The sequence below is a fragment of the Homo sapiens genome, chromosome 12 (genome assembly GCF_000001405.40).
Source record: "Homo sapiens chromosome 12, GRCh38.p14 Primary Assembly".
Lineage (NCBI taxonomy): Eukaryota > Metazoa > Chordata > Mammalia > Primates > Hominidae > Homo > Homo sapiens.
Window position 1 is genome coordinate 10,927,843 of NC_000012.12, and position 19,649 is coordinate 10,947,491.

Consider the following 19,649-nt stretch of genomic DNA (forward strand, 5'->3'; position numbering starts at 1 on the left):
TGCAGCTGGTGATACCGAGTAGTATATTTTATGAATTGAGGAACAGGGAATTTCTAGGTATCACAGAGCAATCAGCAGCTGAGAAGAGGAGTACCAATCCAGGACCCTGGAAGGATTTTTCAGAAACTTAATAGTTTATTGTCCAATTGTAGAGACAAAAATGAAAATAAAGATAGTGAGGAGTACCATACACCATTGCTTAGAAGATTAAATAAATGTCATCTCCCACAAGTCATGTGGGGAGAAAAAAACTATATAGGAAGAAAATTACAAACGACAAGGTAGTCTCAGCATATAAAATATCAACAAATGAATGTAAGAAAGAGAATGAGAAAGAATTAGTATTAGAATATCATAGAAAAAATCATCTTTGTGAAAGAAAACTCTGATGAAACTGGTGACATAAATACTGAGTAAAAAACAGAAGACCAATCAAGGCATTTGAGGCTTGAACAGGCATTACAAATCATCAAGTTGAATATATAAGTATGGCCACTTAGTTATTAGTGGTGAAGACTACGGTATTTGTTAGAAGAAATAAAGTAGATGATGAATTCTATAGAATATTCTGGAGAAAGTGGAGGTCTTAGCTACATGACATCGTGTGGCTCACTTTGGGAACCATGTTTCAGTTTGTTTAGGTCTAGAAATTCCTTGGTGGTTTCTGTGTTCAGTTTTGCTTTAATAATCCCTAAAGATATTTTTTAAAATACAAATTTTTTAGCTTTCCTGTATTGTACAGCACCAACGCTTGCCTGAGTGTAGTGAGATTCACAGAGTTTGGAAATTTCCTGTAGCATGAGGAGGCTGCGGGGCAGCCTTCTGTCATCTATGTGTACCCAGCAGTGTGCTGTCCTCACACAACTCACGGATAAGCAGAAAGCATCTCTATTACATGAAAAATTTAGCTAAATATACAAATATCCATGCACACACATCATGAGAGATGGAAATAGGCTATCAAAAGAGTCAGACATATTGACCGTCTTCACTGTTAGCTGTAGGATTGCTGCCCAACCCCCTGACACACCCACACAAACTCACATACACACAAATGAAAAGCACAGTGGAAAGCAGAATAGCAGTCTTTCCAAACAGATTGAAAAACAAATGATGTCTAAAGTTCAATCCTGACACTGTGCTGATTGCTTGGACACAGTTCCGTCAAAACATTTGTCCAAGTCATAGTTGTACCTTTTAGAAATTAGCCACAAACAACATCCTCCCCAACCCTTCCTGCTAGGCTAGAGTCCCAGAAGAAATGAGGGATACACTTGACCTGAAGTAAGCAAAGCAGAACCCAGTCTCTGAGGCGAGGAGGCCCACCTGGTAGGGAGCTCAAATGCGCCATTGTCCTGCTTGTCTTTATAAAGGGAGCTGACACGTTTCTCCCAGCATAAAGTTGGGAGTGACACCAGAGCCTTCTGCAAGATGCTTCTGATTCTGCTGTCAGTGGCCCTGCTGGCCTTCAGCTCAGCTCAGGACTTAGATGAAGGTAAGCCGAATTGGGGGAAGATATTGTGACTCTGATTGGGGTTTACGGGCGAATGCTATAGAGGGGGAAAGTGGAGGGAAGAGAGGAGGATGAGAAAACAGATAGGACTGAAGAGTTCTCATGCCAAGGATCAGAAGACCTGTTGTGCCTTCATTCCTCATCAAGACCTCATAATTTATTGATTGCACAAATAGAACCCAATAAAGAATTTGTACCGGGGGAGTGAGAGAGTGAGATTTGCATTTATAGAGACATGGGACTGCTGGGAAGGATATGGAGAATGCAAGACAGATTCAGGGAAGTGCAGCTGTGAAGATCCTATACTGATCCCAGTAGACAGGGATGATGGTGGCCTTGCTGGACAGTGGATGAGTATCCATGAAGGAGATAAACACATGTCAGAGCTATTGCTGAGGCAGAGAATTGGGTAAACACTTGCCTCTGTCTACATAGAGTTAGAGAATCACCAGAGTGAAATATTGTCATTTTTTTCTCTCCTGCATGTAGTATTTTAATGTGCTGGGACGGGCATTTGTAAGATTGTATCTAAGTGGCTATGTCTGGTGGCTCCTGTTGAGAAAGCTTGCAAACATAAACAACATATTTACAGATGAAAGAGGGCAGAAGGATCCCCAAATATTTCATTGAAATACTCAAGAGCCCTTTAACTAAATAAGCACTAAGGCTTAAGGAATCATGAGAGGACAAACAGGGGCCCTTCTATGTTGAGTTCCTGGTTGACGCTCAGTGTAGTAACAATCCTGCTTTCCCTTACATCTTCTTCCACTTCCGGTAGCATCAGAGAGTGGCTGATGAGATCTCAAAGGGGATGCACAGGGTGTGATCAGAGGTCCTTTATCCTCGTAGAACACTATGAGCTCTGAATGATTCATGCAGTAACTTTTCCCATCATCCTGTACTTCTTTTCTAGATGTCAGCCAAGAAGACGTTCCCTTGGTAATATCAGGTAAATCCCAATAAATTCTCAGTAAACTCTGTCTCCATTTTTCCCTGAAAAATTGATCAGTTCTCCAGTGTCTTCTTATCATCCTTGTCAGGAATTGGCTAATATCAGTGCCCCAGAGATATAAACAGTTTTCTCCCAACCTTGATTCTGGGGACCATGAGTAAAGAAATTTGATTTTTCACCACCCTAATGTGGATTAAGAGGAGTTCTAATTAGGAAGCCTTGGGAAGGGGGGAGGTTGGGAGTTGAGAGGCAGGTCAGGGAGAGAGGGGCCGGCCGTGTGGTGAAGACAGAGAGATATGAAGACAGGAGGGTTTTCCAGCATGAGCTCAGCTCTTCTTGTTTCAACTCACACAGATGGAGGAGACTCTGAGCAGTTCATAGATGAGGAGCGTCAGGGACCACCTTTGGGAGGACAGCAATCTCAACCCTCTGCTGGTGATGGGAACCAGAATGATGGCCCTCAGCAGGGACCACCCCAACAAGGAGGCCAGCAGCAACAAGGTCCACCACCTCCTCAGGGAAAGCCACAAGGACCACCCCAACAGGGAGGCCATCCCCCTCCTCCTCAAGGAAGGCCACAAGGACCACCCCAACAGGGAGGCCATCCCCGTCCTCCTCGAGGAAGGCCACAAGGACCACCCCAACAGGGAGGCCATCAGCAAGGTCCTCCCCCACCTCCTCCTGGAAAGCCCCAGGGACCACCTCCCCAAGGGGGCCGCCCACAAGGACCTCCACAGGGGCAGTCTCCTCAGTAATCTAGGATTCAATGATAGGTATGATTCCAGTTTATTATCCATCAAAGGCTCCAACTGCTACAGTTCTCCAACTTCATTGTGCCAGTGAATCTATTGAAAAGCTGTTAATATTTCCGTGTCCTGGAACACATTTCTCATGAGTTTTGTTCAAATATTCTGGGATAAGGTAGCAAGATCTTGTTTTTAAACAATCTCTTGAAGGCAATTCCAATTTTGAGAATCACTATCTTCAAATTACCTCTCTTAAATAGGGTTGGGAATGAGGACATAGAATCATGTTCTCCCTTTGGCACTCTGTTTCCTTTCCTCAAACTCAAAGACTCCCATTTATTTAAAGTTTTACCTGAACACTCCTTGTTCAGGACAGGCTCAGTCCTGCCTCACACTAGCATTTCAAGTCCAGTATTCCTGCTAAATGGTCCTTGGACTTTTAGCTGTTAAATGGTATCTCATTTTTTAAAACACATTTCACATTTAAAGTCATACATGCTTAAGCTAACAAAAACTAATCTCACTGAATAGACATGTACCAAGCTAAATAGCAATTCATTTCTCCTCCCCTCTACCCTTACCAAAACTCCCACTTTTTACTGTTTGGAAACTCCTCTTTGAAATATTTATTGCTACATAACTATATATAATTTTCCCACCACTAATACCACACTTTATATTCAGTTCTGTGTCTTACTTATTGGAAAAATTTATTTCTTAGCTTTCACATGAGTTTATTTAGATCTCTTCAGTGTTTATTGGTTAGTTTTTTTTTTTACAATTATATATGATGCTATTGTTTGGTTTTTCCATAATTTACTTAACCAATCCTTGTCACTGAACATTAAGGCTGCTTTCACACTGTCCCTATTACAGGATATGTTGCAGTCCCCATCTTTCTGAAAATAACCCTTAACGTATCCAACAGCCACAAAGCATGAACAACCTAACAATAATCGTTTTTCGTCCTCATCTAAGCAACAGTTTAAAGCACATTACGTGCAATGGCATAGAAAGTGTGAACAAAGAAAATGATATTAAGGAGGGGGGCTGTAGAAGGGATAGAGGGCAAAAGGATGGTTTTGCATCTTCCTCACCGCAGTAAACCAATGAGGTATTAGACATTTCCTGCCATGTCAAGTCTTGCCTATAATCTTCCTTGTCTTTTTCAGGAAGTGAATAAGAAGATGACAGTGTTTCAAATGCCTTGAAACATAATGTGATCATGCTCTAACTTCAATATACCAATAAAATAATCAGCTTGCAATTTCTGATTATAGCATCTCCTTCTGAGTGTTTGGGACTCTGGAATCTGAGACCCATGTTCACATTGTAAGAACATCCAGGACCCCTTCTCCTTGATGTTTCCAGCAAGCTTCTTTCCTCCTTATCCTTATTAAGTCATCTGCCTGGGGAAGGAGTTCCACTGTTTCTTTCCTTCTCTGTCTTCTTAGCTCGAATTTAAATTGCACAATTATTTTCAGGTCATTTCCTGATAGTCTAGTCAGCTTATGAATGTAAGCAAAACAGGACCAATGAAAGAAAGTCCCAGAAGCTGAGAGAAACTTTAACAAGTTTGAGAGTAACTTATTTTGTTTTCTAGGAAAGTGAGTATGGTTCTATGCCTGTATTCCCCAGAAGCCACTAGACCTATTTTCCCCTATTTTATCACTGATCAGTTCTGTCCCTGCCTATGATTCTTACCATTCTTAAGAAAACCTGAATGGATTTCATCAAGGCGGCAGCATAATTTGAAGGGCAATTGCGTGTGAAAATTGATGTGACTTGATTTACACAATAGTCAGAAAACATTTTAGAAATTGATGACTTTATAATGCAACCAGGAGTATTGAAAAAAAAGTAAGCAATGAGCTCAAATAATTAAAAAAGAGAGACAAAATACACTTGGGAGAACAGAAATAAGAATTAATGAAAATTTAAAAGATTAAATGAATGAGAAGAAATGATTCATAAATTTTGAACTAACAGTAATAACTTCTTGAAAATCCAATAAAATTGGCAAAAGATTGTGAAAATTCTGGAAGAATAAGGGAAACAGATAATCTTCAGAGTAATCAGGTAAAGCTTAAACAAGTGTTTTAAAAGATGAGTTTTTCCTACATTCTGAAAAGCAAACATGAAAAACTGAACACAGTTTTTACAGATATACAATATGGAGTGACTTATATACAAAATGACCTTAAAAATATATTAAACTCATTATAGTAGTTAATATCTAAGTAAAATATGATGAAATTTAATAGAGAATTCACTCCTCCCAAAAGCACCTTCATGGAAGATTCCTCATTAACAGGCAGTCCTTTAGTATGCTGATTTATACAAAATGCTGAAAAGAAGAGAAATACCCCAAGTTCTTGAAAAAAAATTTTTTGATATGACTACTCTAACAGTAATAACTATAAATCTCACTTTAAATAATTTAAAACAAATTAAAGTGATATATGAGTTAAATGACCAAGCAGACTTGATTCCAGGAATGTTAAGGAATGTTCATTATTTGTTTTGGATAATGAAGTCAGCAGAGGAAAAAAAAATATGACCATCTCAAAAGATGCCAACGTTGTCTTTGATAATATTTAATATATTTTTTAAAAAACAATTCTTGTAAAATACTTTTTTGATTAGCCTTCTGACCATGATTAAAATGGTGTACCTCAAAGTAGCTGCTAACCTTATGTGTATCTGCAACACCCTGAAAAATTATCTAATAAAAAGGCACAAAGAAAAAGCTTGTCAATGTTGTGGATAATTAGAAAGTGAATAATTTTATTTAATATTAGATAAACAAGCACATAACAGAGATACATATATTCAAATGGAAGGAGTAAAATTACCACCACATGCAGATCTGTTTTTCTGTCCAGAAAATAACAAGAGATTCTACTCAGGTAAAAAAGGAAAGGAAGGAAAACCATTGTAATTAAAATAAAATTTAATACAATAGCCGTTTATTAATTCAACTTCTAAAGAATCTTTGTGATTACACAATGACCAGCTAGTAAATATAATAAGAAAATGATTATTCACAAAGGAACCAAAAGGCCTAGTCTTCGAATTTTTAATGCCATTGTGATAGCAAGCATCTGATTATTTTACTCTAAGTTATTTCCACTTCTGATTTTAAGAACAGCTTCTTTCCCAGGGATGGGTTCCCCCTAGTGATGTATTCTCTTCACCACAAGAGTTTGCAGCTCTGGCTTTCTTTCTGCTCATCTGTAAAGATAACTACAGCTCCTCTATAAACCATCTCACCATTATTACCGAAATCAGACAAATTCTGGAGATAGTCAAAGCTGTGAGGATTCGAAGATCTCTTTCACATCTTGACCCAGTCAATTCCGTTCACCAGTGTTATGAATCCATTCCCCAAAATTCCAATTAGGAATTATATATTTATTATTATAATGAGGATACTATACAAGGCATTTAGCATGGCTGCAAAGAGAGAGCTCCAATGTCTAAATGCAACGCTGACAATTTCTTCATCTATCACATGTACCTGTTATACATACTTATTAATTGGATGTGCAGTTAATTTCTTCCTTTAAAAAAAAAACTATAGGCTCAATATGAAAGTAGAAAGCACTAAGGTGTACTAATGAATGGGCACATAGCTTTTTTCACAAAAAGATTATTTTGCCCCAGACAGCTATCTGCATTCTGATCCAGATACTGTATGTTCTTAACATAAAGTGAAATTTCTCATACTTCATGATGAAAGAAAAAACTGAATTCTCATTGTTAATAAACAAATAAAGACAATTCTCTGCATCATTGTGCATGTTTGCTTTATCTAATCTCTTCACAATTTGCTTATTAATTTTAATTGTTATCAATTGCATTAAAATTCAATGGATAGAAGTATAACATATAGCAAATATGTAAATTAGTAGATGGAGTATATTGAGCACTAAAATCATCTCCACTGAGGAATGCTGAGGGAAGACTGAGGGGATATTTTCATAGTTTATCCAAAGCTCTTATAATTCAAAGCATTGAAATTTACTGAATGAATCCAGAGGAGCCATAACTCCTGAATGCTGAGTGCTGATAATTTACATTTATTTATCAATTAATTGTTTGCAAGTTCCCGTATACACACACTTTGCAGAATAACCTTATAGGATTATTGTCCAGGAATGACTGCTGTCTTTTTGGCAATAAGAATATAGGGCTCAGGAAATCACATGGATTCAAAATCTTCGATTTTCTAATAATTAATTCTTGCTTCCTTCATTAATATTTATTAAGCTTATCCTGACATTAAAAAATATTATATATCAAAATATTTTAAAAACATAATTACCCTTGATATTCTCTAATACTTAACTGAAAATATCCAGGAACATTTGAGAACCATTTACAGGGCTTATGAAAACTGATAGAACTCTATATTAATCCCACACAGCAGCCTCTTTGTTAAAGCCAGATAGGGACAATATTGAGAATGCAGAGGAACATCTGCAGAGCATGAATTGTCCTCATTTTGTACTTCTCCTCTACTCAGTAATACCCACTCCCCTAGAGTTATCAAAGGTTGGGTTTTATTCAGCTTCCCCACACCTCTGCTGAGCAACATCTGTTCTATGGCTGTTAAATCTTACTCCAAAGTAAGTAAGTATAGGTTTGCTAAACAACACGGTGGAGTTAAATCCCAATATATTCTTATTTCTTCAAGAAAATTTTTAAATCAATAGAGAGCAATAAACTACATCAGCAAAGATCTGTAATGTTGTCTATATGATCCTCGAATTTGGAGGGATCCAGATTGAGGAGTTAAGCAGGCAAAAATGGGAAATTTTAAGAAAAAACTTTCAAGGATAGGAGCGCCAACACATGACCCAGGCAGAGGTAGGATGGACATTACAGGCTTGGCATCTTCCAGGATATTGAGCTGAATCTGAGGAACACACCAATTCCTACAAGAATGAAAATGGGGTAATGGAGTAGGCTCTGAAACTGAATTTTCATGGGGCATTCGATGATGAAGCAGAACCTAGGCTCCAGGAAAGCTAGAACTCACTTCAGAGGAGCTCTCTGCTATTGCTCTCCTATCCCTCCCACCACCCCGCCCCCACACACATACACACACCCCTGCAGCTTTCTTCCCTTAAAAACTTACTACTGGGGAAGACAAACCAGTAAGGTAGATAAGACAACAAGAATTCCTACATATTTTATTCCAGTAAACATAAGGCCCAGGCTAAGATCAAAAAATAAGAATAGGAAATAATAATATTTGATTCTTCCAAAGTTGCAAAGAGAAGCTTTCTAAGAATGCATACTTATGTGCAGTTTTCCTCCTGAGTTGTTTCTAATATGCCACTTGAGGTATACTTGACATGCAATAAGTTGTACAGATATAAAGTGTACAATTTCATGAGTGTCTCACCATGTGATACTCATCACATGTGAAACCATCACTATAATCAGGTAACAAACATATATAGTACCCCCAAAACTTTCCTTTATGTTCCTGTGTTATTCCTCCAACTTACCACTGCCCATTCTTTATCAAACCCCCAGTTACCAGGCAACCATGGATCTGCTTTCAGTCACTATAGATTACTTTCCATATTCTAGAATGGTATATAAATGGAATCATACATCATTGTGTTTTCTCTGTGCCCACAGATGCCTGTTTCTTCCTCTTTTTATAAAGACACCAGTCCTATTGTACTACGGCCTCACTGTATGGCCTAATTTAACCTTAACTACCTACTTAAAAGCCTTATATCCAAATACAGTCACATTGAGAGTGTGGGCTTCAACACATGGATTTTGGAGACAAACAAGTCAGTCCATAACAGTCTTTCTGAAGCAGATTGGTTATTAGCATTTTCAGTAAGGACGTATGTTTAGTAAACAGCCCTCATCTTTTTTTAAGGGGAGAGGGGAATGTTATTATTTAATTCAAACCCCAGAACAAATTTTTAGCAAAGAATTCAGGATTACGGTTACATTCCTTAGCCCTTGAAAAAATGAATCAACTGTCTTCTGGCATACAGTTCTTTGACACAATTTTTCATGTTATTCAAACTGGGATTATCTTCCCCTTTTGGAGATTACCTCTCACTACCTTGCAGCTGCTTTCTGAATTCCCATTTGCCTCTAAGGTTGCAATTTTATTTCTCTCTCTCTCTCTCTCTCTCTCTCTCTGTGTGTGTGTGTGCGTGCGTGTGTATGAATATGTATATTGTATTTTATTAAATCTAGAATGCATAGACTAGAAGACATGTCATTGTTTTATGTACCACCATTAACAAGTATCATTATTTTAATTGGTCAGAGGAGAGGGAAAATATGATCATCTTAATAAACAGCAAAAAATTTGATAGTTTTTAACAGAGATTTTATTACAATACTATACACAGGAAGATAGGAAACAAATATTCTCCCTGAAGAATATTTTTAAAAGAATTTATCTCAAAGCTAGAGTCAGTATTACGTTTATTGTTAAAACACTAGAAAACACTCCATTTGCAAAGACAGCAGTTACGATCAGGATTACTTAACACTTTGAATGTTCAAACCATTTCATTATACAACTGATACCAAAAAAGAATTACAAGTAGTAAAATGGAGAAGTAAAATAATCATTATAAGTCACTATATGCAGATGATATAATTTTCTATCTGCAAAGCCAAGAGAATGAGCAAAGCAAATGTGGTAGTTTAGTAAGGCAGCTGGCTTCTAATTCAACAAACGAAGCAAATTACTTTTTTGCATACACGCTAATCAGGTACTAAATATTATACAAAAATTAAAAACACTTAATATAGGTACTAAAATTCCATATTCTTTTATGTACTTTATCTACCAGATTGAGATGTAAGTTTAAGAAGCCTATTTTTAGTAACTGTGTCACATACATACATACACACATGTATTTTATACATTATAGGTTTTCTCATTTAAAAATCTCAAAAAAGGTGAATGATTGATACAAAATCTATATTATCTGTTTGTATAAGAACTCTTTATAGTATTCGCATTCTTCTCTGTATGGTAATATACATACTTTCATATATCCTAATTTGTGATATGTTTGGATGGTGTTGATTCCAAGCATATCTTTGTAAAATTCACAAAGTTATACACAATGAAAGAATCTTAAGGAAGTATAAATTTATATAACATACAAGAATTTCTTAGGAGCTATTTTTTTTCTAATATATTCAAGATGATTCTCTAAATTCTTTGTGACCTGAGGGCTCCCCATCTTTGAACATGTACCTCAGCCACAGTAGCACTGACAGAGAGGCCTGTCTCAGCTTCTTGTTTCCAAGAATCAGAACACATGAGTGACATGAAGGATAAGCCATTCCCATCACCTGGGAAAGAATAATTAGATTTTCCTCCAACCTTTCAGAGGTCCAAACTGATATGAAAAAAGACAGAGAGAAAATGGCATAGAGTAGGAAGAAAGTGATCACACTTTTAACTCCTCTGTGGGCTTTGGTGCTGGCGTCTCCGGATATTTTGACAGTGTGCTGCATCTTCTTGCGATGTTTCCACATGGAGAAGATGAGGAGAAGAAACATTGCCAGGGACAAAGTAAAGGGTATGAAAATGAACACAGTGCTGGTTAATACAATAAGACTGGAAAATCGTGTAAAGTTACTTGAATCAGAACTGCAAGTCTTGTTTCTTCTGTATCCATTGATACTGGCATTTATATGGATGTTTATCAGTGCAATATTTAAAAACAAGAAGACCGAAGTCACAAGAAGCAGCACCAAAACCACCTTTTTAACCCTCCACTTTAGGTAGAGAAAAATAGAGTTAGAAAAATTGGCTATCTTGAGAAAATAAAAAGTACCGAGGCCTGTAGCTAACCAGACACTAAAATGATTGATCACTGTCCAGATATTAGTAAGCATTCTGAACATTTTTTCAGTGGCAAATAAAGCTGGGAAAAACACAGACACACACCAGCTTCCGAATATTAACCAAACCAGGCTAATTCGAGAGATTGCCAAAGCAGTGAGGATCCGATCAACCGAAGAGATCTTTCTTCCCTTGACCCAGTCAATACAGTTCACCAGTGCTATGAAACTATTTCCTAAATTTCCAATTATAAATTCCACAATTAAAACGAATGTAAATATGCTCTTTATGACACCACCCATTGCCTGTAAGAGCATGCCCCAATGTCTAATATCACTGCTGAAGACTTCTTAATGCATTCATCTAAAATGCTATGTATATCTGATTCTTGAAAATTCAATAATATATTCCCTTTAAAAAGGGAATGTTAAACCAGCAACCATCCAGATTTGCTAATGGCTGGGTTTAAAGCTCTCTTCATAAAAATCTCTGTATTTCCCCAGACAGCTCAGCTGAGCTTCATCCAGATGCTGTGTGCCTTATACACAGTAGGCTGAAGTCTTTTGTAGCTGGTGAGAAAGGAAACACTGAATTCTCATTTGTAAACATGCAAATAAGGACATATTTATTTTCATTGGTTTGTGTGTTTTTTTTTTTTTTTTTTGTCTTATCTACATACTTCAGTCTGTCAAATTGAGTTCTGGGGAAGTATCATTACAAAAATTGGTATATGAAACTTTGTAAGCACTGAGAATTTTTACATACTTCCGTGTTTGGGTGGAGAAAAATGGGGAGATGATGGTGAAAGTTTACAGAACCTCAGTTAGACAAGAGGAATAAGTTTTGTTCTGCTTTTCTGAGATCTATTGAACAGCATTGTGAATATGGTTAATAATAGTGTATTGTACATTACAAAATTGCTGAAAAAGTAACTTTCAAATATTCTCACCATAAAAAAATATTTGTTACCTGTTATCTGTTATATTTATTATCATTTGAATACGTTAATTAGTTTCATTTAATTATTCCACATAGTAGTCATAAATCATAACAACACCTGATACCTCATAAATGTATGCAAGTAAAATATGTCAATTTACAATAAAAATAAAGAAAATAAAGAAAAATCAGATGGTTTTTTAAAGTTAAGTCTGTAAAGGGACTTATTCATAGTTATCCAAAGCTCCTCCTACAAAGTAGCAGAGTTTTCTAATAATCTTGTGGAAGACATTATTCCTAGAATGCTGGGTACCAAGAATAATACTTTTCTATTATTTTACTTTTTACAAGTACATGCCCAGCAAACATGCGCGCACACACACAAACACACAAACGCATACATTTATTTGGGATCTAAATCTTTTTCTCTTTTCACTTAAATAATTCAGGCTTTTTACTTTCAGCATTTATTATGCATCTAGTTCATGTTTAGTACTGTGATAGTTTTAAACACATTTAAAAAGACTTGCAAGTTTATATTAAATAGTAATACATGTAAATATTCCGGAGACTTTGGAAATATTTTCTCTGTACATGTGAGAAGAGGTAGAAATCTATCTATTGTCTCATAAAGCAGTCATTGTGTTTGAATGAGTTCATCCACATGGCAAGAATTCTTATTCTGTGCCTCTCCCCTGCCCAGTAGGGCATATTGCTTCATCAGCACCAAATACCTTCACATTTTTTTCACATATACTCACTCTCCCAGCAACATCTACTCCATGATCCTCACTACAGGGACCAATGTAGATAAAGGATGACATACTGTCTAGCCAAGACGGGGAAATCAGCAGCATGATACAGTCATTCTTCTTCAATAGCTAAAAAAGTAAGTAAAGTGAGCAAAGCACCAATGAAACAAATTCAGCAACAGCTACCAAACAAAGTAGAAAAATATGCCTCATAAACGTCAAAGATGGCAGAGAAAGATGTAAGGTGTTCCACTATGAAGAACTGATCCCTCACCTTCAGTCCCCTGAAGCAAAGCTAAGCAAAAATAAAATAAAATAAAACCAAAATATCTTGGAAATTACCGTATATTTAGTCAAGAGAGCTATTGAAAAGGCAAACTCAGCTAGCATGGACAAATATTAAGGAAAAATCCCAAGGCTAGAAGTACAAACGTACTATCCACATAGAGACAAGAAGGTTACCCTGGCCTCGCTATATCCAGGCAATAAAGATGAGGTTGGGAAAGAAGACAAAGAGAAAGACAAACTACCATGGTGGGTGGGGGGTTGTGTGGTGGGTTCTGTTGAGACTTCATGGATACTTTGAAAAGAGAGCAGAGCTCACGTCTCCAGTGAGAGCTACAATAACCCCAGAGGGTCTCGCCCAAAGGACCTCAGCACTTGCATCATTCATGCTGGGTTGAAAACACTAGGTTTTCATTGGAACAACAGCTCTTAGGGAAAGGCAATCTTTTTCAGAAAAAGAGCAGCAAAAATAATAATTCCCACACACTACATCCAGAAATTAGAATAAAAACTCAGTTCCTCAGAGAAGAGCAGTGTCTTAATCCATTTCAGTGTCAAAGTTACATTTAGGTGTATACAGAACAGATTAGTGTGTTTCATTTTAACTTTTTTATGCATCAAAATTTATGTACTAACTGTATCAAATGTTTGAATTTATTTATTATTAAAATTTATTATTTATTTATTATTAAAATTTATTATTTATTATTAAAATTTATTTGAATATTTCTCCCTTCACTTCTTGTATCATATTTTTGGATTTCCTTGCATTGGGCTTCACTTTTCTCTGGTGCCTTTCTGATTAGCTTAATAACTAACCTCCTGAATTTTTTTTCAGGTAAATCAGGGATTTCTTCTTGGTTTGGATCCATTGCTGGTGAGCTAGTGTGATGTTTGGGGAGTGTTAAAGAGCCTTGTTTTGTCATATTACCAGAGTTGGTTTTCTGGCTCCTCCTCATTTGGGTAGGCTCTATCAGAGAAAAGATCTAGGGCTGAAGGCTGTTGTTTAGACTTTTTTGTTCCAGAGGGTGTTTCTTTGATGTAGTATTCTCCCTTTTTTCCTATGGATGTGGCTTCCTGACAGCTGAGCTGTAGTAATTGTTATCTCTCTTCTGGATCTAGTCACCAAGAAAGTCCACCAGGCTCCAGGCTGATATTGGGGTTGTCTGCACAGAGTCCTGTGATGTAAACCATCTGTTGGTCTCTCAACTGTGGATACCAGCACCTGTTCTGGTGGAGGTGGCAGGGGGGTGAAATGGACTCTGTGAGGGTTCTTAGCTTTGGGAGTTTAATGCTCTATTTTTGTGTGGTTGGCCTCCTACCAGGAGGTAGTTCTTTCTAGAGAGCATCAGCTGTGATAGTATGAAGAGGCACCGGCAGTGGGTAAGTCACTAGAACTCTCAAGAGTTTATGCCCTTTGTGCTCAGAATACCAGGGTGGGTAGGGAAGTACCATCAGGTGGGGCAGAGCTAAGCATGTCTGAGCTCAGACTCACTCTCTCCTGCTGTGGCTGCTAGGGGGGATGGGGCTGAGGTTTCCAGGTTAATGGAGTTATGCACCTAGAAGGAAGCTGCCTCTGCTGAGTCATGCAGGTTGTCGTGGAAGTGAGAGAACGCTGGCAGTCACAGGCCTGACCCAGCTCCCATGCAATCCAAAGGGCTGGTCTCACTCCCACCATGCCTCCCCAATGGCACCCTGTCTGTTTCCAGACAGTCGGCAAGCAGGGCTGAGAACTTGCCACAGGCTACCCACCTCCTAGCTGTGAAAGAAAGTAGGACTTTAGTTCTTCCCCTGCCTATTTAGTCTGCACAATGGATTTGAACTCTTCCCTCAGTTCTGGCCAGGAGGCTTCTTGATGACTTCAAATTGTTCCAAAATTCAGCTGGTGATTTCCTTCTCTCTGTGGCATTTCCCTCTTGTCACCCTCCCAAAGGATCTTTGTGATGCCACACAGGAATAGCCTGCTTGAGGACCCAGCGAGCTCACAGGGCCTTTTCTACTGCTCCCTCTATTCCTGTATTTTGCTCAGCTCTCTAAATTAACTCAGCTCCAGGTAAGGTTGTAATCTTTTCCCATAAAATAGACCTTCAGTTTTCCCAGGGGAGGTTGTGTTTGGGGGCAGAGGATCTCCCTTTCCCACTTCTGCAATTTGGGCCTTCACAGTATTTGGGGTGTCTCCCAGGTTCTGCAGGAGCAGCCCACTTTCTTCAGAAAACCTGTGGGTCCTCTCGCATTTCCTGATTTTTTTCTGCAGTCTTTCTGGAGCTAAAATTCATGATGCAAGCCTTCACAAGCTCCTCTGTCTTTCCAAGTCAGAACTGCAATTTAGTCCTGCCTCCCATCCACCATGATGGAGCTGATTGTTTTTCACATTTTAGTAATAGCCATTCTGACTGGTGTGAGATGGTACCTCATTGTGGTTTTGATTTGGATTTCTCTAATGATCAGTGATGTTAAGTTTTTATTCACATGCTTCTTGGTCACATGTACGTCTTCTTTTGAGAAGTGTCTGTTCAGGTCTTTTGCCCACTTTTTAATGTGGTTGTTTTTCTCTTGTAAATTCAAGTTCCTTATAGATGTTGGATATAAGGCCTTTGTCAGATGCATTGTTTGCAAATATTTTCTTTCATTCTGTAGGTTGTCGATTTACTCTGTTGATATTTTCTTTTCTTGTGCAGGGGCTCTTAAGTTTAATAGGATCCCATTTGTCAATTTTTGTTTTTGTTTGATTGCTTTTGATGTCTTTGCCATGAAATCTTTGCTCATTCCTAGGTCCAGGATGGTATTGCCTAGGTTGTCTTCCAGGGCTTTTACAGGTTTCTTTTTACATTTAGGTCTTTAATCCATTTTGACTTGATTTTTTTATATGGTACAGGGAAGAATTTCAGATTTGATCTTCTGCAGATAGCTAGCCAGTTATCCCAGTGCTATTTATTAAATACGAAGTCTTGTTCCCATAGCTTGTTTTTGTCAGTTTTGTCAAAGATTAGATAGTCATAAATGTGTGGCCTTATTTCTGGGATCTCTATTCTGTTCCATTGGTGTATGTACCTGTTTTTATGCCAGTACCATGCTATATTGGTCACTGTAGCTCTGTAACATAGTTTGAAGTTGGGTAATGTGATTCCTCTAGCTTTGTTAGCTCTGTTGTTTTCACTTAGTATTACTTTAACTATTAGGGCTCTTTTTTGGTTCCATATAAATTGTAAAATAAATTTTTCCAGTTCTGTGAAGAATCTCATTGGTAGTTTGATAGGAATAACATTGAATCTGTACATTCCTTTGGGCAGTACAGCCATTTTAATAATTGATTCTTTGTATCCATGAACATGGGATGTTTTCCCATTTGTTTGTGTCTTCTCTGATCTTTTTGGGAAGTTTTTTTATAATTCTTATTGTGTAAATTTTTCACTTCCCTCGTTTGCTGTATTCCTAGGTATTTTTTGTGTGTGTGGCAATTGTGAATGGGATTGCCTTCCTGATTTGATTGTTGTTGGTTTATAGGAATACAAGTGATTTTTGTACATTGATTTTGTATCCTGCAACTTTTCTGAAGTTGTTTATCAGATGAAGGAGCTTTTGAGCCAAGACTATGGGGTTTTGTAGATAGAGAATATGTCAACTGCAAACAGTTTGACATACTCTATGGTTTTTTGGGCGTCCTTTATTTCTTTCTCTTACCTGATTGCTCTGGCCAGGACTTCCAATACTATGTTGAAAAGAAATGGTGACAGAGGGAATCGTTTCCTGTTGCTGGTTTTCAAGAGGAATGCTTCCAGCTTTTGCCCATTCAGTATGATGTTGGGTGTGGGTTTATCATAGATGGCTCTTATTATTTTTAGTATGTTCCTTCAATATCTAATTTTTTGAAATAGTTTAACATGAAGGGATGTTGAATTTTTATCAAAAGCCTTTTCTGCATTTATTGAGACAGTCATGTGGTTTTTGTCTTTAGTTCTGTTTATGTGATGAATCATATTTATTGATTTTTGTATGTTGAACTAACTTTGCATGCCAGGATGAGGCCTATTTGATCATGGTGGATTAGCTTTTTGATGGGCTTGTGGATTCAGTTTGCAAAGGTTTTGTTGAGGATTTTTGCATCGATGTCCATCAAGGATTTTGGTCTGTAATTTTCTGTTGCTGTTGTGTCTCTGCCAGGTTTTGGTATCAAGATGATGCTGGCCTCATACAATGAATTAAAGAGAAGTCCTCCTAAACTTTTTGGATTAGTTTCTGTAAAAATGGTAACAGCTCTTCTTTGTACACCTGGTAGAATTTGGCTGTGAATCCAGCAGGTCTTGGGCTTTTTTGGGTTCATAGGCTATTTATTACTGATTCAATTTTGGAGTTCATTATTGGTCTGTGCAGGGAACAAATTTCTTCCTGGTTCAGTCTTGGGAGTATCGGGTGAAATTCACCCCCGATATTTCACTTAGGTTCTTTTCTATTTTCCCTAAGTGTCAGCCAGTCTGAGAAATAAAAAGACAGAGTACAAAAGAGAGAAATTTTAAAGCTGGTGTCTGGGGGAGACATCACATGTTGGCAGGTTCAGTGATGCCCCCTAAGCCATAAAACCAGCAAGTTCTTATTAGTGATTTTCAAAAGGGGAGGGAGTGTACAAATAGGGTGTGGGTCACAGAGATCACATGCTTCACTAGGTAATAAAATATCAAAAGGCAAATGGAGGCAGGGCGAGATCACAGGACCACAAGACCGGGGCAAAATTAAAATTGCTAATGAAGTTTCGGGCATGAATTGTCATGGATAACATCTTATCAGGAGACAGGGTTTGAGAGCAGACAACCGGTTTGACCAAAATTTATTAGGCAGGAATTTCCTCATCCTAATAAGCCTGGGAGTGCTACGGGAGACCAGAGCTTATTTCATCCCTCAGCTAAGACTGTAAAAGACAGCCGTCCCCAAAGCGGCCATTTCAGAGGCCTCCCCTCAGGGACACATTCTCTTTCTCAGGGATGTTCCTTGCTGAGAAAAAGAATTCAGTGATATTTCTCCATTTGCTTTTGAAAGAAGAGAAATATGGCTCTGTTCCACCTAGCTAACCAGCAGTCAGAGGTTAAGGTTATCTCCCTTTTTCCCTAAACATTGCTGTTATCCTGTTCTTTTTTCAAGGTGCCCAGATTTCATATTGTTCAAACACACAGGCTCTACAATTTGTGCAGTTAATGCAATCATCACAGGGTCCTGAGGCAACATACATCCTCCTCAGCTTATGAAGATGATGGGATTAAGAGATTAACGTAAAGACAGGCATAGGAAATCACAAAGGTATTGATTGGGGAAGTGATAAGTGTCCATGAAATCTTCACAATTTATGTTCAGAGATTGCAGTAAAGACAGGCATAAGAAATTATAAAAGTATTAATTTGGGGAACTAATAAATGTCCATGAAATCTTCACAATTTATGTTCTTCTGCCATGGCTTCAGCTGGTCCCTCCGTTTGGGGTCTCTGACTTCCAGCAGCAGGGAGGGTGTATGTGTCCAGGAATTTATCTATCTCTTCTAGGTTTTCTAGTTTGTCTGCACAGAGGTGTTTACAGTGGTTCTGATGGCTGTTTCCATTTCTGTAGGGTAAGTAATAACATTCCTTTAAATCATTTCTAATTGTGTTTATTTGGATCTTCTCTCTTTTCTTCTTAATTAGTCTACCTAGTGGCCTATTTTATAATTATTTTTAATTCCAACTCCCAAATTCATTGATCTTTTGAATGGTTTTTTGTGTCTTAATTTCCTTCAGTTCAGCTCTGATTTGTGTTATTCCTTATCTTCTGCTAGCTTCGGGGTTGATTTGTTCTTTTTTCTCTAATTCTTTCAATTTTGAATTTAGATTGTTAATTTGAGGCCTTACAAACTTTTTGATGTGGGCATTTAGTGCTATGAATTTCCCTCTTACTACTGCCTTAGTTGTGTCTCAGAGATTCTGGTTTGTTGTATCTTTGTTCTTATTATTTTTATAGAACTTCTTGATTTCAGACTTAAATTTATCTAAAAGTCATCCAGGAGCATGATGTTTAATTTCCATGTAATTGTATGCTTTAATAATTTTCATTGTGTTGACTTTTATTTTTATTGCACTGTGGCCTGAGAGTGTGTTTGGTATGATTTTGGTTATTTTACATTTGTTGAGGATTGTTTTATATCCAATTATGTGGTTGATTATAGAGTATGTGCCATGTGGCTATGAAAAGAATGTATATTCTCTTATTTGGGGATGGACACTTCTGTAAAGGTCTACCAGATCCATTTGGTCCAATGCTAAGTTTAGGTCCTAAATATCTTCATTAATTTTCTGCCTGTATGATCTAATACTGTCAGTGGAGTGTTGATGTCACTCACTATTATTGGGTGGGAGTGTATGTCTATTTGTAGGTCTCTAAGAACTTGCCTCATGAATCCAGACATTCCTGTATTGGGTGCATATCTATTTGGGATTGTTAGGTCTTCTTGTTAAATTGAATACTTTACCATTATGTTATATCCTTGCTTGTCTTTTTTTTAAAAAACTTTCATTTGTTTGAAACTTGTTTTGTCTGAAATTAGGATTGCAACCCCCCTTTTTTCTGTTTTCCATTTGCTTGGTAGATTTTT

The 19,649-nt window shown here is 37.5% G+C and overlaps 4 protein-coding genes and 1 long non-coding RNA gene across 7 annotated transcripts in view, besides 2 other annotated features; 1 reads left to right on the top strand and 4 right to left on the bottom strand.

The window, feature by feature from the left end:
* PRH1-PRR4 (PRH1-PRR4 readthrough) overlaps positions 1-19,649 on the bottom strand; it is a 325,777-nt gene that overhangs the window by 81,994 nt on the left and 224,134 nt on the right. The window lies entirely within an intron of this gene.
* PRH1 (proline rich protein HaeIII subfamily 1) overlaps positions 1-19,649 on the bottom strand; it is a 290,647-nt gene that overhangs the window by 46,878 nt on the left and 224,120 nt on the right. The window lies entirely within an intron of this gene.
* Positions 1,394-7,003, top strand: PRH2 (proline rich protein HaeIII subfamily 2). Of its 2 annotated transcripts, NM_001110213.1 has the most exons (4): positions 1,394-1,495; positions 2,427-2,462; positions 2,820-3,238; positions 4,384-7,003. In NM_001110213.1, exons 1-3 carry the CDS (start codon positions 1,432-1,434, stop codon positions 3,218-3,220), a joined length of 501 nt encoding a protein of 166 aa, NP_001103683.1. In that variant the 5' UTR covers positions 1,394-1,431; the 3' UTR covers positions 3,221-3,238; positions 4,384-7,003. The 2 variants fall into 2 exon arrangements, with proteins under 2 accessions (NP_001103683.1, XP_047285057.1); XM_047429101.1 differs by having other exon boundaries at positions 2,820-4,478.
* On the bottom strand, positions 9,568-11,421 carry TAS2R14 (taste 2 receptor member 14). Its single transcript, NM_023922.2, has one exon. It carries the CDS (start codon positions 11,363-11,365, stop codon positions 10,412-10,414), a length of 954 nt encoding a protein of 317 aa, NP_076411.1. The 5' UTR covers positions 11,366-11,421; the 3' UTR covers positions 9,568-10,411.
* PRH1-TAS2R14 (PRH1-TAS2R14 readthrough) overlaps positions 9,568-19,649 on the bottom strand; it is a 234,202-nt gene continuing 224,120 nt past the window's right edge. The window contains exon 5 of the mRNA NM_001316893.2: positions 9,568-10,735. Within this exon, the coding sequence (NP_001303822.1) occupies positions 10,412-10,735 (324 nt within the window). The 3' untranslated portion in view covers positions 9,568-10,411. The remainder of the gene's footprint in view (positions 10,736-19,649) is intronic.
* Positions 14,068-15,267: an enhancer, noted in NCBI's record as "MED14-independent group 3 enhancer chr12:11094509-11095708 (GRCh37/hg19 assembly coordinates)". NCBI's record gives its function as "activates an origin of replication core promoter dependent on BRD2, BRD4, P300/CBP and CDK7 cofactors, and independent of MED14, by STARR-seq in HCT116 cells {active_cell/tissue: HCT116}" and the evidence as "EXISTENCE:reporter gene assay evidence [ECO:0000049][PMID:35650434]".
* Positions 14,075-14,275: a silencer, noted in NCBI's record as "peak1572 fragment used in MPRA reporter construct". NCBI's record gives its function as "represses an SCP1 promoter by STARR-seq MPRAs in K562 erythroleukemia cells {active_cell/tissue: K562}" and the evidence as "EXISTENCE:reporter gene assay evidence [ECO:0000049][PMID:32103011]".